Source organism: Homo sapiens, chromosome 9 (assembly GCF_000001405.40).
Source record: "Homo sapiens chromosome 9, GRCh38.p14 Primary Assembly".
NCBI lineage: Eukaryota > Metazoa > Chordata > Mammalia > Primates > Hominidae > Homo > Homo sapiens.
Window position 1 is genome coordinate 85,788,749 of NC_000009.12, and position 27,779 is coordinate 85,816,527.

The following is a 27,779-nucleotide window of genomic DNA, read 5'->3' on the forward strand; positions in this document are numbered from 1 at the left end:
CATGATATATCATTATATAGCTATAATGTATATATAGATACACTTGTATATATACATAGATATAGATATATATAATGGCCAAAGGTCAGTGCCCTTAACAAGCACAGCAATATTTATAAATAAATATTTATTAATGAAGATCCTAATAATAAGTTCCTTATAAGATTAAGTAATGTGCTATGCGTTATTTAGGAATAATTCATTTGAGAATGTATTCTGATACTGGAATCCTACTTGCTCAAGAAATTAACACATACTTGTTTTACCTGTGGAAATACACATTTCCTCAAAGCCAACTCACTAATAAAGCAAGAAAATTTATATCAAAACAACGATTAGGTTTGATTATGCAATTGTGAGTTGCTTTCTAAATAACAAAGGTATGGTGTTTTTCTTCCTTTTGGTTAAACATATATCCTTTATATATATGACAGATTTCATGCCACATATGCAAACACACATATAAATAACGTCGTGAATAATATATTCTGGAAATCAACCTCTGGTCATTCTAGTTTAGTCGGTGTTCTCACAAAGGAAAGAAAAAAATTAAACACCTACCCAAGGCAAGTAAAATTATTTTTTTACATATACTAAATGATTTTACTTTTTCACATGCTTTTTCTAAACATTTTGTCACTTTATTGCCCTTTTGCATGTATATAAAATGTTTGTGGTTTTCTTTTTTTTGTTCATTACGTTCTTTTTTCCTCTAACTGTAATAAAGCATTTGAAAGGAAAAATATTTGTAAAGTACTAGTTACTTTCCTAGCTCTAGAGTGTTATAGCTAACAGAGATGGAAAATTCTTTATGTTGGGAACCACAGGTGGTGAGAACATTGATGAAGGTGCTTTTGTGCTTTAATGTTTGCTTTCTTTTTGTTAATGTATTTTTTTGTTGTTGCCTCAATTCTTCGTATCTTCATGAACCCAGGGTCCAAGGAGTCGGCAAAAATATGATCTTCATTAATTGTGGACTAGATTGCCACTAGCCATTGCCTTGTTCAGTCTAGGCCAGTAAAGTGAGGAATGCTTATTTGAGACTAAATTCCTTATATAGAAAAAAATGAAAGTCTTATATTAAGTTTTGGAATGACTATCAGGGAGTGAAATCCTTAGTGGGAGTTCGGTTCTGTGGTCAAAACAAATTCTTACACATTAAATGCAAGTATGACATATTTTGATCTTTCACTTATTTCCTTAGGCACCTACTCGTGACTTTAAAACAGTGGGGTATCAGTATTTGAAAGTTCAGGTAGAAAGTTACTTATGTCCACAATTCCTCTCTCAACTTCATTGGACTTTTTAAAAAAATTCATTATGTATATTTTAAACATTTAAAGTTGTAACAGATTGTAGGCTGCCTTGATTAACACTGATAATATATTCTTCTACATTTATATTTTCAAAAACTGAAAATAAAGGCGAGAGTGAGATCCATTTGCAATAAGCATCTCAAAAGCATTGGGCATGTAGTACTTTTGAGCTTATGTTGGCAGAAGTACACCAAGGGTAGGGTACTGGGGAGCCTCTGCCCAATAAGGAGAAGTATTTTATCACTGTCATTGCTGCTGATAAAAGCAGGCTGACTTTTCATAGGTTTTGTTGTTTTTAAATTATCTGTAAACAATGCACCCCTTATTGCCTACACCAAGGTTGACTGCTGCGATTCCTTCCATTCCCTGGAATGTACTGCATACAAAGAGAAAGCATCAAACACTGGAATAGTGTTTGATTTTTATAATGGCTTTCATGTTGACCCCAACATGACTCCAACATGGAGGTAATTAGAACAAAGGAAATTATGAAAAGAAATCCCAGAAAAAGTTGATGTTATAATGATGGCTTTTGATATTTTGCATAGTTCTCATTTGTCTGTTTTTATATTTCCTTCTAGGAATTTCTGCAATGAGTCAACAGAATTGGCACTATTTGAAATGCTAACAGTGTAATTTGAACCCAAATATATTGAATAAGACTTAGATATTATGTTCTACTGGTTAATTGTAACACACAGCTCTATTGAGTTATCTACAGTACTTTAAGAGGAAAAAACAACAATCTCATAGTCTGTTATAATGAGCAAGATCCCTATATGCCCAAGGAACAAAACCATTCACAACAGAAAAGAATAGAAAATTAAATATTTTTTTAAAATGTATACTTAATGATTCTTGGAAATTTAAAACTATCTATTAATAATTATATAACTAAAGTAGAAAAGGAATTATTTTAAAACCTTATTTGTATACTGTATTATTGTGTTTTCAAGCTTATTAAGTACATATATAAAGCAAGGTATAATTTTTCAAGTCCAGTGTGGTAAATATTGTTAGAAGTTATGTGATCAGCCAGGCACGGTGGCTCATGCCTGTAATCCCAGCACTTTGGGAGGCTGAGGCAGGTGGATCACGAGGTCAGGAGTTCAAGACCAGCCTGGCCATGATGAAACCCCATCTCTACTAAAAATACAAAATTAACCGAGTGTGGTGGCACACACCTATAGTCCCAGCTACTCGGGAGGCTGAGGCAGGAGAACTGCTTGTACTCATGAGGCAGAGGTTGCAGTGAGCCGAGATCGCGCCATTGCACTCCAGCCTGGGCGACAGAGGGAGACTCCGTCTCAAAAAAAAAAAAAAAAAGTTATGTGGTCTGAAGTGTCATATTTTTAAACGAACCATTCCTTGGACCCCACACCACACTTACCAACAACAAATCATAGGCATGTACTTACTTACTTTTCATTTCCCACAATGATCCAGGATTCCAATAGCTCTAAGACAGATGACTGGAGTGGGAGGGAGACAGGGGGGAAAGAGGTTTATTTGAAAGCATTCCATAGACAAGCAAAGGATTTTCAAAAAATATTTTGAGAGAATATATTTCTCTGGCATAAGGACTGAAACTTAAATTCAACCTTTGGCTATCTCTAAACACTAAAGAATACTCTTGGTTAGTACTGACTTTGCCATTAAAAAATAACTTTTTTATACTGGTTTTTATTTTTTATACTGGTTTTTATTTTTCATACTGGTATATTTTTATACTGGTTCCTTTTCCTATGTTTACTATTCACTCAGGATATTATGAAAAGAAGCCATCCTAGATCGAATTTGAATAGAAATTGTGGAGCCATTCAATAGAGAATTACAAGAAATAGCAGTTTGTGGTAAATTCCAATGGCCTAACAACATACACTGAAGGAAAGCAGTTAGGACTTAAGTGATTTTACCTTTGAAGAACCATGAATGATATGCCAAAACAAACAAAAAAATTGCTGTAGGCAAAATGGGATTTATTTTTGTAAAACAATGATATCTCAACTATTTTGCTTATTTTTTTCCCTCTGCTAAAATGTCCCTGATTTTGTCTACCGAAAAACCTGTGTATAAAAAAACTTTAATTCAAGATTACAAACCAGCAGCTACTTGCCTGCCTTGAGGGGCTGGATTAATTTTATTCATTTTCATTTGCGGGCTGTAGTTGCACTTCACTGTCTATCCTCTAGGAATGAAAAGGAGTGAGGAGTTATCTGAGTTCAACTAACTGATAATTTTCATAATTTATAACTATTAAAGTCAAAGTTTTGTTGTTACTTTCTAGCATGCTTTTTCTAGATGGGAATAATGGGAACAGGGCAAGGTATTTTAATACTGAGGAGTTAATCTCCTTTTGAAATTCCCATCACCTGGGAGGGTTGGACAGCATCTGAATTGTTCCATTCAAGGCCTGGGGCTAAGCCCATCCGTTTCACTAGACATTTTCCTGGCTAGCTCCAGGTGTCACCAGCTGTTAGACATGACTAGAAAGACACAGGCTGTAATTTTATTAATAGAGTACATTAAATGATATTTTCTAAACCAAACAGCCTTTAAAAAACTATTTATGAATCACTACCCTGCATTTAATATCAAAATCATATTTTTCAAATGAAACACAAAGTAATTAGGAGGGAAATTACTATTTTTGTTACATAGCAAATATTTTTGTTACATAGTCTTACTTTATCAAATAAATGCTTTATCAAATAAATGCTTTATCAAATGAAAGCACTTTGAAAATTGAAGCATCATATATGTTTAAGATTAAATTATAAGTAGGTTTTCCATACAGTTGGATGTCAAAATGGGATAACTGTTTGGCACACATGGTTGTTTATTTTATATAAACAAATCATAAGACATCTTCTAAACAAATTCTCAGTTTTAGTTATATATATCTTCTAAACAAATTCCCAATTTTAGTTATGTATGTTTCAACAGTATAAATAAGAGTATTCTCTGGGAAGATTAATGTGAATTCTAGCAAAAATATTTTAAAGACTTGCTGAATCTATTTTTATAGCCATAGAAGTGCTTCATGACTATTTCTTTGATTTATGAGTGAAAGAGGATGTTTTTTACTGGATCTTTGGCCACCAGTTTTTGGCTATTTATTACTTATTTTTTTAGTAACAGTTACGTTTGTGAGCTATTGAACTATAGCTGGAAAATAACTTTTCTTAAAACTGATAAGAATTTTAAACTATTTTTCCCCAAAGACACTATAATACAAGAAGTTAATTTTTTTGCACATGTATAGGTATATGATCAAATAAAAAGAAATCAGTCCTCATTTAGCATCTGAGACTTTTAGCTCCTAAATACAACAAGTGTATTAAATTTAACATTACCACAGTGGTCTCTCCTTCATAAACATTCAGAGGGAAGCTCGTTCCCCTTAGTTTGCAAGTATCTGGCAGTGTAAGGAATATTTTGTCTCTAGATTGCAGCACCTATGACCTGAGCAGCCAAGGAAAGAGAAGGTCAAGACTTTAAGGGTAATGGAACCTACAATCATAAGTATTCTAGTGGATTGTGAACAAATAAATCAGAAAAGAAGAATACTAACATAGTTTTCCTGAGTTACCTTAAGTGGTATGAGGTATTCTTAGTAAGGTTTATTACAAAATTCAGTATCTCCCATAAGAAAGGAAGCTAGGTTTAAGCATTTGATTATGTGAGTTTAGTTGGCCCTTCACCCTTCAAGACATGGGCCAGTACTGTGGGGTTTAGTTCTTATATGGGAAATAATCTGTACCTCTTCCAAAGGGTGGGCTGGTAGCTAAAGTTATTTATTTCCTGAAAATATAAAAAAATGGCATCTATATGTAAATGCTAAAATGTAAAGATGGAAATTTCTACAGGCTTTTAATTTATAGGCATTTTCCTGCTTTATATTTTCTATCAACCTTTATATTTTTGCTGATAGAGTTGAAGACTAAAAGCCCTATCCCTCAAGGAACTTATAGTCCAGTGATATTACTTATGGAGAGAGTAAAGCAGGGTAAGGAAATAGAAAATTAGGGGTGCTTTTTCAGATGGAAATAAGTTTCTGAGCTCACATATATATAAAGCTGTTAAGAACTACATGTAAACATACTGATCAAAAAATGCTCTTCTAATGTATGCATGCCCAAAAGAAGCAAGTATCATAAATTGTATCTGAACATGGAAATCACATCCAACCAGCTTTGATGGAAGGAGAAGAGCACTTTACAGTTTTAAGTCTTACATTTGGGTCTTTGATCAATTTTGAATTAGTTTTTGTACATGGTATGAGTTAAGGGTCCAACTTCATTATTTTGCATGCAGATATCCAGTTGTGTCAATACAATTTGTTGAAAAAAACTATTCTTTCCTCATTAAATTGTCTTCATACATTTGTTGAAAACCAATTGACCACACAGGTTTATTTCTGGACTCAATTTTATTCCACTGGTCTATATGTCTGTCCTATGACAGACTGTACCACACTGTCTTGATTATGTAGTAAATCTTGAAGTCGAAGTGTGAATCCATGAACTTTGTTCTTCTTTTCCAACATTTGTTCGTTATTTGGGGTCCCTTAAGTTTCCATATGAATTTTAGGACCAGTTGTCCATTTCTACAAAGAGGGAGATGGAATTTTGATAGGAATTGCATTGAATCTGTAGATCAATTTGGGGAGTACTGCCATCTTAGCAATATTCAGTCTTCCAATCCATGAACATGGGCTGTCTTTCCATTCTTTTAACCATGTTTTTTAGTTTTCAGTGTACATGTCTTACACTTCTTTGGTTAAATTTATTTCTAAATATTTTATTCTTTTTGATGCTACTGTAAGTGGAATTGTGTTCTTAATTTCATTTTCAGATGGTTCATTGCTAGTGTCACGAAATACAACTGCTTTTTATATATTGATCACTATTTATTTTTAGTGGATAGTAAATTGGTTTAAGAACACATGCCATGAGTCAAGAAACTTAGGTGGTGCTTACCCATACAAACTAATTTAATGAGCAAAAACCCCAACTACTTTTTTGTTGTTGTTGATAAAATTTTAGCTGGTTATTTTTAAGACTGTCTCTTTAGGAATTGTTTCTATTTTATTTCTAGGTTAAGGGTGGTATGAGCACAGTAGGTCATTTGGCATTTGTAGTCTATAGTATGAGATCTTTCCTATAAGTGAAACACAAAGGAATAATCCTGAGCAACCCATGTCTCTCTGTATCTTGAGAATACTTTGTATATATTCTTCAATGCTATATACTGTATTTTAAAGATTAATTATAATGCTGACTAATTTATTCAATAAACTTCTGTGTGCTAGGTCTTCATGCTGAGTGCTAAATGCTAAAAGAAACAAAGCTTAATAAACCACAGATCCATCCACCAAAGAACATACAGCCTGTTGAGGAAAGACAGACAAGTAAACAGGCAGTTACATTTGAGTTTGTTCATTCAACAACCATTTGAATGCGAACAATGAGCCTGGCACTGTAGTGACATACCAATGAGTAAAACAGACCCGGTCTCTGCTTTTAAGGGGCTCACAAAGTAAAGAGGAATATAATGACTCTGGTAAAAATATAGAGGGTACTGTGGGAGTATGGAGGAAGGGCACCTAACTTTTAGGGGTAAGGTAAGTGAGAACACATGGTATTTGGTATTCTGGTTCCTGCACTAATTCGTTTAGGATAATTGGCCTCCAGCTGCATCCATGTTGCTGCAAAGGACATGATTTCGTTGTTTTTTATGGCTGTGACTATTTCTCCTGGAGGTTTTTATCCCTTTCTTCTTCTTCTTAGTTTTTTTTTTTTTTTTTTTTTTTTGAGACGGAGGCTGGTGTTTTTGATGAGGTTGAAGAATTGTTGAAGTTTAGTTACTATATGCAATGACCTTGGAACGATAAGAGATGGTTGGAGAGTGGAGGCTTGAATTAAATTAGAGGAGGAGCTGTAGTTACCAGTAATATTACAGTGTAAGGAATGCATATGAGAATGGATAATTGAGGTACCAGAGGGTACGAGATCCTTTCAAGGGAGGTCAAGGAATTGAGACACAGTAAGGATTTTGAAGTGAACATCCACATAGTTATATATATCTATTATACATACATACATACATATATACACATACCCCTCACAAAGAATTACCGCAAGAGTGATTCCACAGTAGTGTTGTAGTAGTAAGTAGTTTTGGAGAGAGTGATAGCAGCCCTAGTACTAAAATCTTTAATCTATGAGTGAGGGGTTGAATTCTTCATATTAGGCTGCACAGGGACATCAGTGGTTTAATATGTTAACTCTTGCAAATATCACATTTCATTAAACAGATGCTTTTACGTTTTATGTTGTTAAAGTGAGATTTCTAATTGCTTCTCTCTGACCTCTCAAATTACGATGGTAACTGCCTTCTTTTACAGGAAATGCCCATCTGTCTGTATTATAAACCAGACACATGCCAGGTTTTCCAATTTAAATGACAGTGCTTTAAAACTTGTCATAGACTACTCTGTCCTACCTCCAATGTGTATTTCAAGTAGATACATCTACAGATGCTAGCTCTGCCACATCAAACAATGCACAGTGAATGTTCAAAATCTACATTAAAAACCTTGGTTATAAAGAGCTAGATACCCTGTTTTACATGATGTGATTATTACACATTGCATGCCTGTATTAGAACATCTCATATACCCCATAAATATATACATCTACTGTGTATGCACAAAAATTAATATTATTATTATTTTTGAGATGGAGTCTTGCTCTGTCAACCAGGCCAGAGAGCAGTGGTGCAGTCTCGGCTCACTGCAACTTCCGCCTCCCTGGTTCAAGCGATTCTCCTGCCTCAGCCTCCCGAGTAGCTGGGACTACAGGTGCCCACCACCACACCCGCCTAATTTTTTTATTTTTAGTAGAGACAGGGTTTCACCGTGTTAGCCAGGATGGTCTCGATCTCCCGACCTCGTGATCTGCCCGCCTCGGCCTCCCAAAGTGCTGGGATTACAGGCATGAGCCACTGCGCCCGGCTCTTTCTTCTTTCTTAAGTTGCTTAGTTTTATCTCTCTCTCTCTCTTTTTTCTGAGACTGGATCTCATTCTTTCACTAAGGCTGGAGTGCAGCGACGCGATGATAGCCCACTGCAGCCTCAATCTCCCAGGCTCCCACCTCAGCCTCCTGAGTAGCTGGGACTACAGATGTGCACCAGTACTCCTGGCTAATTTTTTTTACTTAAGGTAGAGACAAAGTCTCACAATGTTGCCTGGCCTGGTCTCAAAACTCCTGAGCTCAAGCCATCCTCCTGCCTCAGTTCCCAAAATGCTGGGATTACAGATGTGAGCCACCACACCTGGTGGTTGCTTAGTTTTCTCTATATCTATCACCATTACATCTCCGTATTTTCCACCAGAGTTGTGAAATTTTGTTCAAAAGGTTCAGACATATTAGGTAATCCATCATTTCCATTTTATTTTCTTGGAGATATCCCTTCTAGAGCCTTCCATCCTCTAGTGTGCTCTCCAGGCCTGCTACACAGCTGACTTCCTGGAACCTCCCTTCACCTTCACCTAGGGCAGGGGTGTCCAATCTTTTGGCTTTCCTGGGCCACACTGGAAGAAGAATTGTCTTGGGCCACACATAAAATACACTAACAATAGCTGATGAGCTAAAAAAAAAATCACAAAAAAGTATGTTTTAAGAAAGTTTACAAATTTGTGATGGGCCACATTCAAAGTCATCCTGGGCCACACACCACGGGTTGGAAAAGCTTGATCTAGAGAATTCTCTTTGTTTTCTGCTTTGTCGGAGTTCTGGTTTACCAGATCCCATGTTTTTCTGTTTCTCTTTTTCTCTTTTTTGAGACGGACTCTCACTCTGTCACCCAGGCTGGAGTACAGAGGCATAATCTCCGCTCACTGCAGCCTCCGCCTCTCAGGTTCAAGTGATTCTCCTGCCTCCGCCTCTCAAGTAGTTGGGAATACAGGCATGTGCCACCACATCGGCTATTTTTTTTTTTTTTTTGTATTTTTGGTGGAGACGGGGTTTCACCATATTGGCCAGGCTGGTCTCAAACTTCTGGCCTAAAGTGATCCACCTGCCTCAGCCTCCCAAAGTTCTGAGATTACAGGTGTGAGCCACTGTGCCCAGCCACATGTTTTTCTGTTTCTTGATATACACCTTTACTTGGATGGAGTTCTCCTTCTAGCAGTTTCCTGAGTGAGAAGAGTATATGGAAGTTAAAATTTTTGTGAATTTCTTGATTTTGACATGTTTTCTGGCTTTCTGTACTGCTTTTATTTCCTCCAAGTTCTTTTTTTTTTTTTTTCTTTTTTGAGACGGAGTTTCGCTCTTGTTTCCTAGGCTGGAGTGTAGTGGCGTGACCTCAGCTCACTGCAACCTCCGCCTCCTGGGTTCAAGCAATTCTCGGCTTCAGCCTCCCAAGTAGCTGGGATTACAGGTGTGTGCCACCACGCGCAGCTACTTTTTTGTATTTTTAGTAGAGATGGGGTTTCACCATGTTGGCCAGGCTGGTCTCGAACTCCTGACCTCTGGTGACCCACCCACCTTGGCCTCCCAAAGTGCAGGGATTACACCACACCTGGCCTCTAAAGCTCTTTTTTTTCTTTTCTTGTTTGTTCATTGTAGGTTCTGTCTTTCATGTAAGGAGGTTTCTTCAAATAAATGGAGATCATCAACTGTTCACCACATTTAAGAATGAGGTGATATCTGGGCATCGTGGCTCATGCCTGTAGTCCCAGCTACTTGGGAGGCTGAGGCAGGAGGATCTTTATTATTATTATTATTGTTATCATTATACTTTAAGTTCTAGGGTACATGTGTACAATGTGCAGTCTGATACATAGGTATACATGTGCCATGTTGGTTTGCTGCACCCATCAACTCATCATTTACATTAGGTATACCTCCTAATGCTATCCCTCCCGACAGGCCCTGGTGTATGATGTTCCCCGCCCTGTGTCCAAATGTTCTCATTGTTCAATTCCCATCTATGAGTGAGAACGTGCGGTGTTTGGTTTTCTGTCCTTGTGATAGTTTGCTGAGAATGATGGTTTCCAGCTTCATTCATGTCCCTGCAAAGGACATGAACTCATCCTTTTTATGGCTGCATAGCATTCCATGGTGTATATGTGCCACATTTTCTTAATCCAGTCTATCACTGATAGACACTTCGGTTGGTTCTAAGTCTTTGCTATTGTGAATAGTGCCGCAATAAACATACGTGTGTGTATGTCTTTATAGTAGCATGATTTACAATTCTTTGGGTATATACCCAATAATGGGATTGCTGGGTCAAATGGTATATCTAGTTCTAGATCCTTGAGGAATTGCGACATTGTCCTCCACAATGGTTGAACTAATTTACACAGGCAGGAGGATCATTTGAGGCCAGGAGTTTGAGGTCAGCCTGTGCAACACAGAGATACCCCATCTATAAAAAACTTGTTAAATTTGTATTATTTTTAGAGAGGGTCTCACTCTGTTAACCAGACTGGAGTACAGTGGTGCAATCACAGTTCACTGCAGCCCCAAACTCCTGGCTCAAATTATCCTCCAGCCTCAGCCTCCCAAGTAGCTAGGACTACAGGTGTGTACCACCAGGCCCAGCCAATTTTTTATTATTTTTCGTAGAGGTGGGATCTCACTATGTTGCCCAGGCTGGTCTTGAACTCCTGGGCTCAAGTGATCCTCTCACCTCAGCCTCCTAAAGTGTTGGGATTACAGGTGTTAGCCAGTGCGCCCAGTCAAAATTTTTCAAATAAAAGAATGAGGCAATAAAATGTTGATGAGAGCCTCTGTAGGTACAATCAGGGATTGCTGACTATTGGGCTGACTGTAAAAGACAGTCAACAAGCCACACTCTTCACCATGGGATCCCCAAACCTCAATATTTGGAGACCTCTTCTCTTGGAGCAGCTGGTTTTCCCCTAAGAAGCTTCCAGTCTCTTGAAAGGATCCCAGCATTCCAGGATCTGAATTTGTGAATGAAGCTGGGGGAAAGGGGTCTGCCTTATAATTTAATATGCACAACTTCACTTAATTCTGCTTTTCTGTGTAGTGAGTCACCCCTGTCTTCAGCTCTGCCTGGTGCCTAAGAGAGCTCTGAGTGAACCTCTCCAGAAAGTAAACCATCTATCTTCCGGTGAATTTGGGCAGCATGGAATGGAGTAGGGAATATAGGGGAGGCAGGATCTCATTCTCTTTAGAAAACATTCACAGTGAATTCTCCTTTTTAGCCTTGCTCTCCTTCTGCTTTCGGAGAGAAAGCAGCTGTAGTTTTAGAGCCTTTCCAGGGTGCTGTGACATGGATAGGCTCACTTCTGGCTAGTTCTGCCTTCTCCCAAAAGCTGAAGTAGTCACTTTGGCAGCTTTGGTAAGTCAGTGATCACTCATCCATCTGCTTTCCACGTTTCTAAGTTTTGTTGGCATTTTATTCAGCGGGGATCTCTTTCCCTGTTTGCTTTTTCTTTATAGATTTATATCTTTTTTATTCCTTTACTGTCATTTTAATGAGGTCTCTGGAATAAGTGGAGACAAACGTATGTTCAATGCACTATGCTTAACCAGAAGTCCCCTTGCCACTGGGTCTTAACATGTACATATGCAATGAACATTTTCTAAGTAGGAAAAGTCCATGTATAGTTAAAGCAATTCCATAATAATTAGAAATAAGTATGATAATAGAATAACCATACCTAACTTAATGCTTATATGTACTTGCAGTCTTTAGAATGGTTGTGTGTGTGTGTGTGTGTGTGTGTGTGTGTGTGTAACGTGTCTTATCCTCACAATAACCTCATAATTCTACCCCTAGCAATCTTATATAACATGGTACATCATTTCCCAAGCTACAGGTAATCTTATTTTCAATTTATCAGGTCTTTAGCCAATCCCTACTTACTGTTAACTTAAGCTATAACTGAAGTTTTAATTTTTTAATTTTTAATTTTAATTTTTGGGCCGGGTACTGTGGCTCATGCCTATAATCCCAGCACTTTGGGAGGCTGAGGTGGGTGGATGACTTGAGGTCAGGAGTTCGTAACTAGCCTGGCCATCATGGTGAAATCCTGTCTCTACTAAAAATACAAAAAATAGTCAGGTGTGGTGGCATGCACCTGTAGTCCCAGCTACTCGGGAGGCTGAGGCAGGAGAATCGCTTGAACCAGGGAGGCGGAAGTTGCAGTGAGCCGAGACTGCACCACTGCACTCTGGCCTGGTTGACAGAGCAAGACTCCATCTCAAAAATAATAATAATTTTAATTTTTGTGTGTATACAGTAGATGTATATATTTATGGGGTATATGAGATGTTCTGATACAGGCATGCAATGTGTAATAATCACATCATGTAAAACAGGGTATCTAGCTCTTTATAACCAAGGTTTTTAATGTAGATTTTGAACATTCACTGTGCATTGTTTGATGTGGCAGAGCTAGCATCTGTAGATGTATCTACTTGAAATACACATTGGAGGTAGGACAGAGTAGTCTATGACAAGTTTTAAAGCACTGTCATTTAAATTGGAAAACCTGGCATGTGTCTGGTTTATAATACAGACAGATGGGCATTTCCTGTAAAAGAAGGCAGTTACCATCGTAATTTGAGAGGTCAGAGAGAAGCAATTAGAAATCTCACTTTAGCAACATAAAACGTAAAAGCATCTGTTTAATGAAATGTGATATTTGCAAGAGTTTAACATATTAAACCACTGATGTCCCTGTGCAGCCTAATTTGAAGAATTCAACCCCTCACTCATAGATTAAAGATTTTAGTACTAGGGCTGCTATCACTCTCTCCAAAACTACTCACTACTACAACACTACTGTGGAATCACTCTTGCGGTAATTCTTTGTGAGGGGTATGTGTATATATGTATGTATGTATGTATAATAGATATATATAACTATGTGGATGTTCACTTCAAAATCCTTACTGTGTCTCAATTCCTTTACCTCCTTTCAAAGGATCTTGTACCCTCTGGTACCTCAATTATCCATTCTCATATGCATTCCTTACACTGTAATATTACTGGTAACTACAGCTCCTCCTCTAATTTAATTCAAGCCTCCACTCTCCAACCATCTCTTATCGTTCCAAGGTCATTGCATATAGTAACTAAACTTCAACAATTCTTCAACCTCATCAAAAACACCAATTCAGTCACTCTACCGTCTTTCCACCATTCTTCACTCCTCTCATAGCTTTACTTCTTACCACTTCTGAAATTATAAGGCCTCCTTTGCCTCTACCACCACCAACTCTGCCCTTATCTTCCCCTTATACTTGCCTGGTCAAATCTCAGTCCTGGTTACTGCCAAAACTGCCTACTCAGTGCCTGCACATGAGCAACTGAATATGGCTAGAGAAAATTGCATAACCAAGTGGCTAGCCTCACTATAAATTCATGACCACTTATTCAATGGGGCTCTTAGTAATGCCTGGAAACTTTACCATGTTCTTTAGTCAGTTCACTCTCCCTCACTCATAAACTCTGATTTCACCTCCCTTCTCTCTTTTTTTCTCAATACTTTCCGTTAAGGACTACATTACCTAGAGTAGGCTAAACTGCTATAACAAATAGACTGCAAAATGTTATGGCTCCAACTCAATAGAAATATATCTTGCTCACATAATTGGGTGTCCAGGTCAGTGGGTAGCTCTCCTTCATCCAGGCACCTTCTTTCTTGTGGCTCTGCCAACCCCAGAGGCTTGTGGTCATCTGCATAATTGAATCAGAGTCACCGTGTCCAGGGTCCAGCTGGCAGAAAGGAAAATGTATGAAAGAGGCACAAGTACTCTCAAAGTAAACGCCTTGGCCTGACAGTGGCAGACATAACATCTGCTCATGTTCTATAACTTAATACTTGACCATATGCAACTGAAAGAGAGGCTGAGAAAAGCAGTCTGTGTTTTCAGGGAGAAGGGGAGACTAAATTATGATGGACAATTAGCAGTCTGCCAAAATGATCTTGTTCCTCACTTTGCTGAGAAAATAGAAGCAACTGGAAGAGAACTACTTTCTCCCACTGTCCAATCTATCTACTTATCTCGACATGTCCCATATACGTGGGAACTGGGGAAGAGGGGATGGATCCCTAGACTAACCTTGACCAGAAAGGGGATCTTTCTTCCCAGGCTTTCAATGAGAACAATGTGGTCTTAAAGACCCTACTACCTAATCACAAAGTGCAAACATACCTTCTTTCCTTGTGCTTTTCAACCTCTGTGGTTTTGGATATTGTTGAGCAACACTCCTTCCAGCCCCGTTTTTGTGAAAGTCCAATTTACCTTGTCTTGATGATTCTGCATTACCCTATTCTCCTCCCATTTTCTGCTCCACCCCCTTTCTTTGCTGGCTTGGCTCACCTAGATCAGAGCTTCTCAAACTTTTTGATGTGGCACAAATCTCTTCGGGTTCTTGTTAAGTTGAAGATGCTGGTTCAGCAGGTCTGGGGTGGAGCCTGAGATTCTGAGTTTCCAACTAAGGTCCTCATGTCAGTGCTGCTGGGCCACTGACCACGTTTTGAGCAGCGAGACTCTGAAGAGGGTGTTTTCCAAGATTCTGACTTTGTTTTCTTCTTTTATCTCACAGCAATATCACTCCTAGGCTGATTATCTATGAGTCTATTTTCTAGCTCAGTCCTCTTTCCCATATTACAAAACCTTTATTTCTAACTTATTAGTGTCCATGTCCGTCTGGCTGTCTTGACAACCCTTTGAATTCTTAAAATGTCTAAATCTAAACTGATCTTCTCTCAAGAAGTAGCTCCTTCTCCTTTCCTTTGTAATTGTCTCTTTTCTCTCTTGCAATTATCTAGAAACTCAAAACCTCCACTTTCTTTGATTTCTCTCTTCCTACCCACAATTAATCAATCAGTTAGCAAATTCTATAGATTCTGCATGCACATCATCTCTCAACTATGCTCTTTAAATTCCCCTGGCTGTCCCTTTAGGTCAGACTCATCATTACCTTTTACCTGGCCTACAGTAGATCTGTCAGTTTTTCCACCTCTGATTTCTGCTTCCCTTCACAGATAAATCACTAGCATAAAGAAAAAAAAAACCTTCCTTTTCTTCCCCCAAACTTCTGAACCATAAAAACTCAAAATACTGAATTAAATATAAATTCATCCATTTGGTATCTTAGGCCCCATACTCCTTTGTCTTTTCTACCTCTCAACATACCTGGAGTCTTTGCTCTTTCCCCAACACAACTTTCACTGATTCGCCTTCATATATATTCTCATGCTATCCCTTCTTGCTGTAAAACTCTCCCTGTCTCCTTCAAGGTCAATCCCAAATGCCTACTCCTTCATGCTGCGTTTCTTTCCTTATCCCCAAGACAGATATACACGGTTCTTTGATTCCCGGCAGTACTCTGCCACTTTTCACGTGGCACCTATCATGGTTTGTCTTTTATTGTCTGTTTTATCTTTGTTTCATTCCTTACTTCTTTGAAGGCAAAGGTATCTTCAACTCCCCTCTAACTCTGAAGCATCTTACCTGTGGGGCGTCTAATATTAGTTGAATCAGGGGGATTTATGGAGATAATGGGATGCGCTGGAAGCCAGTACAGCTGGGTGCCGGCTCTGCCGTTTATTAGCTGTGAGGTTTTGGGTAAGTCACTTAACTTCGCCTGTAAAATTAGTCCACTACGACCTGATGGAGAACCAAGGGAGATAACGTCAAAGCGCCCTGCAACTCTACAGGGAACTGAGCAATGTTAGTTATTTTCCTTACAGAGATCTGATGCACTCTTGCTACTGGAATCTTGACTTGCAGGACCATCCCTACTTCATTGCCTGGAGGTCGAACCCCAAGTTGCAGGGAACCCAAGCTACCAGGTCCCACTGCCCTTTTCCACTCCAGGGACCTCTAACTGCTCTCCGCGACGCAGGTGATCCTGCCTTGCTGCGGGGGAGTGGCCTGGAGTCTCATTCCCTCGGGAGGCCTCCCTCCTTCCACCCGCTTGAGGAGAGCCCTTCTCTTCCCTGTGACCCCGAAGACCGTGGCGCCGCCGCCCACGTGAGGCGTTTGGACCCTGCCCGGCCCCCGTAGCTCCCTTTCTCCAGCAGGTGGTTCTGGTCCTCTCCCCCAACTCGGGCGCTCACGTCACCGGCGAACCTCTAACCAGCGCCAGCGCCGCTACCAACCGGGAAAATAAACAAACCCCCGCGCTCGGCGGACGCGCCAGGCCCCGCCCCCGCCCCGAGGCTCTCACGCCGCCCCCTCCGCCCGGGCTTCCCGCTACCCTCCGCCCGCCTGCTCGCAGCTGCGCTCTTCCCGCCCCTCACCGCGGCCTGCAGCCGCGCTCACCGCCGCAGTCCGCCCCGGCGCCCCGGGACCCGTTAGTGCCCAGCCTGTGGGCCGACCGCGACCCCCGCCCGGCGCGAGCCTGCCCCCAGCTCTGCCGACACTTGACCCAGACCAGTCCCAACGCCCAGTGCGGCCGCCTGGGGAGCCGCGGGAGAGGCGGCGGCGGGGGGAGGAGGGAGAGGAGGGCCGAGCCGGCGGCCCGGGAGGCCCGGTGAGTACGCGGAGGCGGGCCCGCCTCGCGGGTGTCCGCTCCGGAACCCCGGAGGCGTAAGCAGCGGCTCGACAGCGCTCCCCTCGGCTCCTAGGGTGGCGGGGACTCGGCCTGAGGCGACGGGCCCCACTGGCCGGAGCCGCTGGGCAGAGGGCACGGGAGGGCCGCTCCGCGGAAGGGGCCGCGGCCCTACGCTCGGCGCAAGGCTCGGGGCGGCGGGGAGGGACTCGCACCCGACTCCCAGGCCGGCGACCGCTGAGCCTCCCGAGACTCCGTGGGGGCCGCTCGAGTGACAGGTGCCACCGTCCCCTCACCGCCGCTGGCGCCCGCACTCCCTCCCGGGGAGCCAGGCGCTCGGAAATTTCTGGAGCAACGACCTGACTCGTTGTTTTCTCCCTTTCAGGTTTTGAAGCCGCTTCTCTGGCCGAGTTAGGTTTCGCCCAGCGCAATTTCTTTCTCTATGTACTTTGCGAATAAGTTTCGGAGCATCGGTTAACAGCCTATGGGTGAAATTTGGCTTTCATTCATGAATGAGGTATAGTGAATTACTTTTTGAATATAGTGCTCCTCGTCCTCCCCCGCCAGCTATTGAAAAGTGATTTTTTTTTCTGTTATTGTTTGGAACAGCCTTACCGAATTTTTGTCAGATTTCGAGCATTAAGGTGCTTCATAAATATTGAACAGTAACGACAAAAATAGTTTATCAAATTGGCTGATTGCCTTTTCTCTTCCTCCTCTTTTTCACTCTTTACCTTCGCCAGATTTTTCAGAGTAGATGCTAATGCTTTCATTAGAAGGACTAATGAAAGATCGTCTGTCTTACACTAAAAAGCTGGAGACACTTTTCTTCAACATTTAGCATTGCCTGTTGTGTAGTAAATGTGCTTGGGATTGTAACTGGAATCACTTAATAAATGTGACTTGTAGCTATAAAAATATTTGAGAAGCTTTTTGGCAAATTAAAATATTAAAGATCTTCATACAAATCTAGATTTCTTTTCTCAACAGATTTATAACACTATAGTAGCTTCAATTCTGGAGTAAGAGCAAAACCCAGAAGTTGACCAAAAGAACCTTGTGTGAAAATAGATGTATTTTACTCGTGGGAGAATCCCTCAGGTCCTCACTGAGTACCTGCTTGTATTTTTTTGTTTAACTTTCTTGGCCTACAGAAAGTGGGAGCTGCAGATTGGAGAGGGGTCTCAGTACTTAACTGTGAGGAAAAAATGGAGTTTGGGGCATACCCATTGGGTTTACATCACTTACAGTAAGTGTGTTTGGAGCAGAGTTTTAGTATGCACTTCACACTTGCTGATTGTGAACTGTATTTTTTTTTTTCCCTGAGGCGGAGTTTTGCTCTTGTTGCCCAGGCTGGAGTGTAATGGCACGATCTCGGCTCACAGCACCTTCTGCCTTCCAGGTTCAAGCAACTCTCCTGCCTCAGCCTCCTGAGTAGCTGGGATTACAGGCGCCTGGCTAATTTTTTTTTTTTTTTTTTGTATTTTTAGTACAGATGGTGTTTCGCCTTGTTGGCCAGCCTGGTCTGGAACTCCTGACCTTGTGATCCGCCCGCCTCTGCCTCCCAAAGTGCTGGGATTACAAGTGTGAGCCACCACACCTGGCCTGTGAACGCTAATTTTTAAGAAGCCAAAGTGAAAGATACTGTTTGGTTATTTGAAGAACAGAACATGAAATAACACAATTTTTTATTTCACCAGGTGTTAAATCAGTGATACTTGGTGCCATTTCATATTACGCTCAGTTAATTTCAATCTAAGTTATATTTCAGTGAGGCCACACTAATTGGCATCTACATTAATACCTTTTTTTGGTCAGGCTAATTGGTAGTGTTAATAGAAGATGGCTATCATTCATCTCATAAAAAGTGATATATTTGGTTGTTCTTGATTTAAGGATTTTATATATATAATTGTGTGTGTGTGTGTGTGTGTGTTTTGAAGCTCCCTAATTGTGGTCTTCTGGACTGAGATATGGCTGCTGCTGTCTGTCTTGATTCTAGTGAGGTCATAGTGTAGAGGGTAAGGTCATAATGGCAATGTGCCTCCAAACCTTGATAGAGGCCAAGACTACCAGCCACTTAGGAATTCTTCTGCTTGGGTCAGGCTTGGTGGTGCATGCCTGTAATCCCAGCACTTTGGGAGGCCGAGGCTAGAGGATTGCTTGAGCTTAGGAGTTTGAGATCAGCCTGGGCAACGTGGTGAGACCCCATGTATACACAAAGAGAAAAAAAAAGAAGTTCTCCTGCTTGTAGCTTAGGCTATTCATTTTTAGAAGAGTTTACGTAAGCAACCGATGCATCCTAATTCTCTTAAATTAACACTTTTGTTTTTTGTTTTTTTGAGACAGTCTCTCGCTCTGTTGCCAGGCTGGAATGTGGTGGCGCAATCTTGGCTCACTGCAACTTCTACCTCCCTGGTTCAAGCGATTCTCCTGCCTCAGCCTCCCGAGTAGCTGGGACTACAGGCGTGCGCCACCACTCGCAGCTAGTTTTTGTATTTTTAATAGAGATGGGGTTTCACTACGTTGGCCAGGATGGTCTCGATCTCTTGACCTTGTGATCCGCCCGCCTTGGCCTCCCAAAGTGCTGGGATTACAGGCGTAAGCCACCATGCCCAGCTGGCGTAAATCAACACTTTAAAACCATATATGCTTCCTAGACAAAATTGGTTGGGGCAGTTAGTTTGTTAGAATAGTACTTACCGTAATGAAACAACTTTGAACTGCTAATAATTGCTCATGCACATCTGCATTATGGGAATTGAGGATTGTCTATTGTGCACTTCACATATTTCTTTTTCTACTTGTAGAGCACATTTTTCACTGCATAGACAGCTGTGTACTTGAAGAATGTAAACATGAAGAAAACACTGAGTTCAATAAATGTGTCTTCTATGTGCCAGGTCCTGTGGTATTTGTAAGGGATAGAAACTTGTCTTTCAGGATCTTGAAATCAGGATCATAGGGCTAGACACAACAATAAAGAGAATTTTTTTGGAGTCCATTCAATAATAGTAAGTTTAAAGTATGGAAATATTACCGAGGAGGGAATGTTTGACTTCAGGAACAGGTCAGAGAACGCTTCACAGATATGCTAGCACCTGAGCAGGATTTTGAGGAATAAATGGAAGTTTTCAGTGGAAGAGATAGATGGCATTGTAGATAAAAGAGAACAGCATAGTTAAAGATATGAACAAGTAAACTGTGTGTTCAAGAAATTTCAAGTTGTTTTTTCTTGGAGTACATGCAAAATCTGAAGAAAGAGGGTTGCTAGAGAAAGCCCTAACGCATGCTATTACATTTAATAAGTCAAATAGTTGGCTTTTTGGGTATGAAGTATATGTAAAATAGAGACTGTTATATTTTTGACACTGCTGCCATCTTTTTTTTTTCTTTTTCTTTTTTGACAAAGAGTCTCAGGCTGTCACCCAAGGTGTAGTGCAGTGGCACAATCACTGCTCACTACAGCCTCGACCCCCAGGCTCAGGTGATCCTCCCACCTTAGCCTCTCAAGTAGCTGGGACCACAGTCGTGCACCGCTATGCCTGCTAACTGTTGTACATTTTGTAGAGAAGGGGTTTTGCCATGTTTCCCTGGCTGATCTTGAACTCCCGGGCTCAAGCAATCTGCTGCCCACCTCAGCCCTTCCAAAGTACCAGGATTACAGGCATGAACCACCATGTCTGGCCTGCTGCCATCTTAAGTATAAATTAATAGTTTTTACTAGTGGTAGTCATTACATTATGGAAGAGAGTAGAAGATATATTTATGGTGAACTGCCTGCATATTGAGAATGTGTGTTTATTTCACATTTTGCCCTGAAACATTTCTGTTTTTAAAATTATCTTGTGAATTTATTTTGTCTTCCTTCAACTATGCATTATCCTTGAAATTAGTTTTATCATTTATTTTATGAGATAGGGTTTTGCTATGTTGCCTGGGCTGGTCCCAAACTCCTGGACTTAAGTGATCTCATGCTTCAGTCTCCCAAGTTGCTAAAATTACAGGTGTGCACCACTGAGCCAAGATATCCTTGAAATTATTTTTCAAAGGAACTCAAAGGGAAGAGGGGGAAAATGTAAATAAAATAATCATTAGATTTCTGCACCAAAAACCTGATTTGTGTAGTATTTTAATAATATGTAAATGTTTAATATACAGTATTAGCCACCATATTCATAGACTAATGTATGTAACTTAATTGGCAGTCCATTGTATTTTCATTTGCATTGTATGCCTTAATTATATTATGTGTATATAAATGTCTGAGCATAGAAGCATCTAAATTTTAAAGACCAAGTGTATTTGAAAGAGAAAAAGTATAGAGAGGGAGGGAGAAGAGCTGTGTTTGAATCTATTTATCCTAACATCTCTTAGATGTGACTGTATGTGGAGATGCAGAAGTTTAGGACACAAGACTGAAGGAATACTAACCCTAGCCATGACCTGAAATATAGTATCTTTTAAAAGCCTAATGTTTTCGTAGTCTTCCTATTTATTTCTTCTTATCAAGATTAAAAAAAAAAGTTACGGAGGAATTCCCGGATTGCAAAACATGACTATCTTTTTGAAAATTCTGAAAAATTAGTTAACGAGGATAATGTTCTCTTAAAAGTATGCAACATATTAGTCTTCGATAGTTGCTCTCTGTCATTTGACTTGTCCATCACTGATGTGAATGGCCAAAGGCGTCTCATTGTCAATTCTGACCTGTAGTTGCCCTTTCTAAATTTTGACACAGGGCAAAAAAATCAATATTGTATTGATTACATTATGCTTAACTTTTTCAACTTGAGTATAGATAACCATTTTTTCTTTTTGAGATTTTTTTTTTTTAAGAACTAATATCATTGTAGAGCCGGGCATGGTGGCTCATTCCTGTAATCCCAGCACTTTGGGAGGCTGAGGTAGGAGGATTGCTTGAGCCTAGGGGTTCAAGACCAGCCTGGGCAACATGGCAAAACCCTGTCTCTGCAAAAAATTAGCCAGGCATGGTGTCACGTGCCTGTAGTCCCAGGTACTCCGGAGGCCAAGGTGGGAGAATCACCTGAGACCAGGAAGTTGAGGCTGCAGTGAGCCGTGATCACACCACTGCTCCAGCCTTGGTGTGGGAGTAAGACCCTGTCTCAAAAAAAAAAATATGTGTGTGTGTGTGTGTGTGTGTGTGTGTGTGTGTATGTGTATATATATGTATGTGTGTATATATATATGTATATAGTCATTGTAGAATATTTGGGGAAATAGTAAAAACTATAGAAAGGAAAATAAGCATAGTGAGTAATCCCATGCATTTCTTTCTTCATTTTGGTATGTGTATGAATAATAGACATATTTACAAATTGGGGATTATTTTCATATTAAGTTTTATTCCCTTCTTTCATTTAAAATTACATTTCCTTCTCTTCTACTTCTGAAGTACTGGTCATTGTACCTTTTGACATAGCATGTAGATTTCTGTCAAGGCTGTTGAAGTAGATGATGTGTTGATATGTTGGCTATTTTTTTTTTAAGTATAGCATAGCTCAGATGATTGAACCCTTCCAGTTGTTTCATCTCCTATCCCCTTAGCTGCAGATTAAGTAGTGCTATTTTTTGTCTTTAATATTTACTGTTATGTAAAGTATAATATAATGGGAAGTGGCTGCACTATCTTACTCTTTTTTTTTTTTTTTTCTTTTTTTATTATTATTGTTATACTTTAAGTTTTAGGGTACATGTGCACATTGTGCAGGTTAGTTACATATGTATACATGTGCCATGCTGGTGTGCTGCACCCACTAACGTGTCATCTAGCATTAGGTATATCTCCCAATGCTATCCCTCCCCCGTCCCCCGACCCCACCACAGTCCCCAGAGTGTGATATTCCCCTTCCTGTGTCCATGTGATCTCATTGTTCAATTCCCACCTATGAGTGAGAATATGCGGTGTTTGGTTTTTTGTTCTTGCGATAGTTTACTGAGAATGATGGTTTCCAATTTCATCCATGTCCCTACAAAGGACATGAACTCATCATTTTTTATGGCTGCATAGTATTCCATGGTGTATATGTGCCACATTTTCTTAATCCAGTCTATCATTGTTGGACATTTGGGTTGGTTCCAAGTCTTTGCTATTGTGAATAATGCCGCAATAAACATACGTGTGCATGTGTCTTTATAGCAGCATGATTTATAGTCATTTGGGTATATACCCAGTAATGGGATGGCTGGGTCAAATGGTATTTCTAGTTCTAGATCCCTGAGGAATCGCCACACTGACTTCCACAGTGGTTGAACTAGTTTACAGTCCCACCAACAGTGTAAAAGTGTTCCTATTTCTCCACATCCTCTCCAGCACCTGTTGTTTCCTGACTTTTTAATGATTGCCATTCTAACTGGTGTGAGATGATATCTCATAGTGGTTTTGATTTGCATTTCTCTGATGGCCAGTGATGATGAGCATTTTTTCATGTGTTTTTTGGCTGCATAAATGTCTTCTTTTGAGAAGTGTCTGTTCATGTCCTTCGCCCACTTTTTGATGGGGTTGTTTGTTTTTTTCTTGTAAACTTGTTTGAGTTCATTGTAGATTCTGGATATTAGCCCTTTGTCAGATGAGTAGGTTGCGAAAATTTTCTCCCATGTTGTAGGTTGCCTGTTCACTCTGATGGTAGTTTCTTTTGCTGTGCAGAAGCTCTTTAGTTTAATTAGATCCCATTTGTCAATTTTGGCTTTTGTTGCCATTGCTTTTGGTGTTTTGGACATGAAGTCCTTGCCCAAGGCTACAGTAACCAAAACAGCATGGTACTGGTACCAAAACAGAGATATAGATCAATGGAACAGAACAGAGCCCTCAGAAATAATGCCGCATATCTACAACTATCTGATCTTTGACAAACCTGAGAAAAACAAGCAATGGGGAAAGGATTCCCTATTTAATAAATGGTGCTGGGAAAACTGGCTAGCCATATGTAGAAAGCTGAAACTGGATCCCTTCCTTACACCTTATACAAAAATCAATTCAAGATGGATTAAAGATTTAAACGTTAGACCTAAAACCATAAAAACCCTAGAAGAAAACCTAGGCATTACCATTCAGGACATAGGCGTGGGCAAGGACTTATCTTACTCTTTTTTTGCACTTTACCCTGATCAAACAAGGGGTCATTAAAGGAGCATTTCCCCCTTTCCATTTTACCCTTTTAGAAGTTAAGACATGTTAACACATAGGTTGCTGATGTGACACAGCATAAGTAGCTGCTTTACCAGAAAAATAATTTTGTCTTTTGAGTGTTTGTCATTGGTTCTTTTCTTGATTAACAGTATTTGTCATAATACTTTCTGTTTGCTTTTTGTTTCTTTTGTTACTTTTTTTCATTCATTCAAGAAACATTTATTATCTATTGTATGCCCACTATTTAAGATATAGTCTCAACTGTGACTCTTGGGTTTCTGGTAGATAGGTATTTTCCTTCTGTAGTATGTTATGTGTAATCTTTAGGTCTTTGACTCTTTTCAGTGGCTGACCACTCACCTACTACTCAATGCCTAAAAACTTTTTTATTTCAAAGATTAAAGCCTTAGCTTATATAGGGGCCAGATGTTGATAAAGTTTCAAAACACTTTGCAATGGAGTCAGGCATGCTTAGTCAAATTTTTAAATAGTTTGTACCAATTCTCCTATGCCTCATAGCACCTCATGGCACATTTCAGTCTAATAATAATAGTAAGAACACCCATAAATGCTTATATAGTCATGTGCTGCATTAACTATGTTTTGTTTTGGTCAATGATGGACATATATAAAGCGGTATTTTTATTGTACCTTTTCTTTAGATATACAAATACTTACCATTGTGTTACAGTTGCCTCCAATACAGTCACAGGCTGTACAGATTTGTAGCCTAGAAGCAATAGGCCATACCATGTAGCCTAGGTGGATAGTAGGCTGTACCAGTTAGGCTTGTGTAAGTACACTGTGTGATACTCATACAATGATGAAATCACCTAATGATGCATTTCTCACAACGTATCCCCATCATTAAGTGATGCTTGAGTATATTGAATGCTTCTGGCTACTATTCTAAGTGCTTTATATATTAACTTATTCAGTCTTTACAGCAACTCAAGAGAGATCAAGTAGGTTGCTCAAGTACTTACAGTAAGTAGCAAGTTGGGTGTGATGGGCATTCTGGCTCCAGGTCAGTGGTCTTGTGCTGGTGCTCCCTGCCATTTGCCTTTTGCATTACTGACATAAAGAACCAGAGGCATCTCATTCTCCCAAAACTGGAAAGAGATTTAAAGGTGTCTGTATTGAACTAGATGGAAAAAAATGTGAAAAACGTTTTTGTTATAGTATAGGATAAGTAAAACATAATATAAATTTATAGGAAAGTTACTAAATGTTGAATTTCTATAAAACTTCAGACTCTTTTCAGGGTTTCTAATGAGAGAATTGTACTTGCTTCTGTAAACATTAACTTTTCATTTTAAAATCAGTTTATCCATGAAATAAGAATATTCAGTTCCTGATCTAAACTTTTAAATAATGATTTCTTAGAATTGAGTGCCCATTACAATTTCATTTGTATGAGTAGGTAATAAAAACAATTTTTATCTAAGCATTCAGTAATTTACAACAGTTGGAATTATTTTTAAATAATCTAACAGCTCTTTTCATCAAAAATGTAATAGAAAATTTCTTGTGATAAAAATGAAAGGATTTGGGGCAGTTGAGGTGGCTCATGCCTGTGATCCCAGCATTTTGGGAGGCTAAGGCAGTAGGATCACTTGAGCCCAGGAGCTGGAGACCAGCTTAGGCAACATAGGGAGACCCCACCATCTCTATAAAAAAATAGAAAAAATTAGCCAGGCATGGTGGCACACACCTTTAGTCCCAGCTACTCAGGAGGCTGATCTGGGAGAATCATTTTAGCCCAGGAAGTCGAGGCTGCAGTGAGCCATAATCATGTTACTGCAATCCAGCCTGGGCGACAGAGCGAGACCCTGTCTCAAAAATAAACAAATGAATAAATAAGTGAATGACAGGATTTCAAATTCAGTTGACCTTTCTAATTTCAAGTGTTTAATGACAAAGCTCTAGGTGACAGAAAGCATATGCATTGTTTGAGCAGTCACCTTGCAGCTAGATTTGATGCTGAAAATGCATGTCACTGGCAAATGGGTAAAAATATAATCAATATAGAAATTTAAGGCTGTTGCTTTAAGGAAACCTTGCTCACTAGATTTTGGGCTCCCCCATTCTTGACTTGCTGCTTATTCTACTGTGTGCCTTGCTGTTTAGGCACCTTGAACATAATCTTCCAACAGTTTCACAAGCCTGTCTTTGATAATGGGTAGCAGTGCATTCTGCAGTTGTCTGATGAGGTAGATTACTAGGACTTGGAGCACTTCCCTTTTCATAGTTGACATAACTCCAGAGCAGCTTGTGCAGGAGCTACCCACTGAGGAGCACTGGATGAGGTTTCTTGTATCTGGAAGTGACTGGAACAGAGGCTTTTACTTTTTCAGGGGTTTCCTGGCTGCCCCAAGGCCTAAGGGAAACTTTATCTAAGGATACCCTGGTAAGATAGCTCTGCCTTATGCTACAGAAAGAAAATTTCTGTGAGCCTTGGAGAGATGTTTCAGAATAGACATTTATGAATAACGCATGCAAATAATCCATATATGAAATTCACAGTTTTCATATCAGTCCTAGAATGGAAAGAAATTTTTTTGTGTAAGATATAAGTCTTGATAAGGCTTCAGTAGCAATCTGAAAATCTCAGCAGCTGAAAGCAGCAAAGTTGCTTTCTTGCTCAAGCTACCATGTCCACCACAGGTTGGTAAAGGGGCTTTGTTCATTGTGGTTCACTGCGTTCCAGCCTAGACTCCATCTCAAAAAACAAACAAAAAAAGTGTGTACAGTTCCTTACTTATCTCCTTGCCTTAACTTTCTAACTCCCTGGTTATTTAATATTTAGATTAATGAACTGGGAAACATTATTACTGTAGAAATAAAGGCCCAATGGAATCCCATGTACTTATCACCTAGCTTCATCATTTATCAACTCATGGACCCCACACCTAGATTATTTTGAAGCAAACCCAAGACATACTAGTTTGTCTACAAATTTACGATGTATTTTACAAGACAGGTTTACTCATTTCAACTATGTTGTATTGAAACAAAACCTGTTCTAATTGACTTTGCTTTAGAAGGTGGTTAGTTTATTGGGATACAAGGAATCAGTAATTAAAATTTGCTTTTTATTTTTGATACACAGGAATCCAGATCTTACATAAGATGGAAGTCTCTCACACTAGATACTGAACATTAAATAGAAAATCTATTTAGTAAAATCTAAGTTGCCAAGGAAGAAATACCAGTAAAAGTTGCTGTAAGAATTAGACCTCTGCTTTGCAAAGAAGTTCTTCATAATCACCAAGTTTGTGTGAGAGTTATTCCAAACAGCCAGCAAGTTATCATTGGGAGAGATAGAGTCTTCACTTTTGATTTTGTTTTTGGCAAAAATTCCACTCAAGATGAAGTTTATAACACATGTATAAAGCCCCTAGTGTTGTCACTCATTGAGGGCTGTAATGCAACTGTTTTTGCCTATGGACAAACTGGATCTGGGAAGACATACACCATTGGAGGGGGCCATATTGGTAAGATTCTCATACTCTTTGACTTTTATTTGTGACGCTAGAAAGAAGCTAAAATATGACCAATACCTGACACATGGTAGGTGTTTAGCATATTGGTTGAATAGTGAAGGAATGAATCATGTAATCAAATGTGATCGTAAGATCATCATCTTTGAAAGATTCATTTTTAAATATTGAAGTTTCATTAAGCAATCTAACTTAGGATTATATTTGCTTGAGGAAAGAAGTTTAAAATAGTTTTCAGTGGTCAGCCCTTGTTATCTT

General features: G+C 39.6%; 1 protein-coding gene and 1 pseudogene across 10 annotated transcripts in view, besides 2 other annotated features; one reads left to right on the top strand and one right to left on the bottom strand.

The window, feature by feature from the left end:
- Positions 1-16,735, bottom strand: part of AGTPBP1 (ATP/GTP binding carboxypeptidase 1) — a 258,945-nt gene extending 242,210 nt beyond the window's left edge. Inside the window, exons 1-5 of one of the 9 annotated variants that reach the window (XM_047423088.1) lie at positions 14,522-16,450; positions 13,953-14,081; positions 4,673-4,781; positions 3,433-3,504; positions 2,739-2,788 (exon numbers count right to left, since the gene is read on the bottom strand). The gene's annotated coding sequence lies outside the window, so the exon portion shown is untranslated. Of the gene's footprint in view, positions 1-2,738; positions 2,789-3,432; positions 3,505-4,672; positions 4,782-13,952; positions 16,451-16,617 lie in introns of those variants that run through there. The other 8 variants (XM_047423092.1, XM_047423093.1, XM_047423094.1 and 5 more) reach the window with 8 other exon arrangements.
- Positions 16,526-16,835: a silencer, noted in NCBI's record as "silent region_19989". NCBI's record gives its function as "represses an Ori minimal core promoter by ATAC-STARR-seq in GM12878 lymphoblastoid cells {active_cell/tissue: GM12878}" and the evidence as "EXISTENCE:reporter gene assay evidence [ECO:0000049][PMID:35858748]".
- Positions 16,866-17,275: a silencer, noted in NCBI's record as "silent region_19990". NCBI's record gives its function as "represses an Ori minimal core promoter by ATAC-STARR-seq in GM12878 lymphoblastoid cells {active_cell/tissue: GM12878}" and the evidence as "EXISTENCE:reporter gene assay evidence [ECO:0000049][PMID:35858748]".
- LOC389765 (kinesin family member 27 pseudogene) overlaps positions 17,254-27,779 on the top strand; it is a 36,878-nt pseudogene continuing 26,352 nt past the window's right edge. The window contains exons 1-2 of the transcript NR_029410.1: positions 17,254-17,385; positions 27,131-27,515. The product of NR_029410.1 is annotated as a kinesin family member 27 pseudogene (transcript). The remainder of the gene's footprint in view (positions 17,386-27,130; positions 27,516-27,779) is intronic.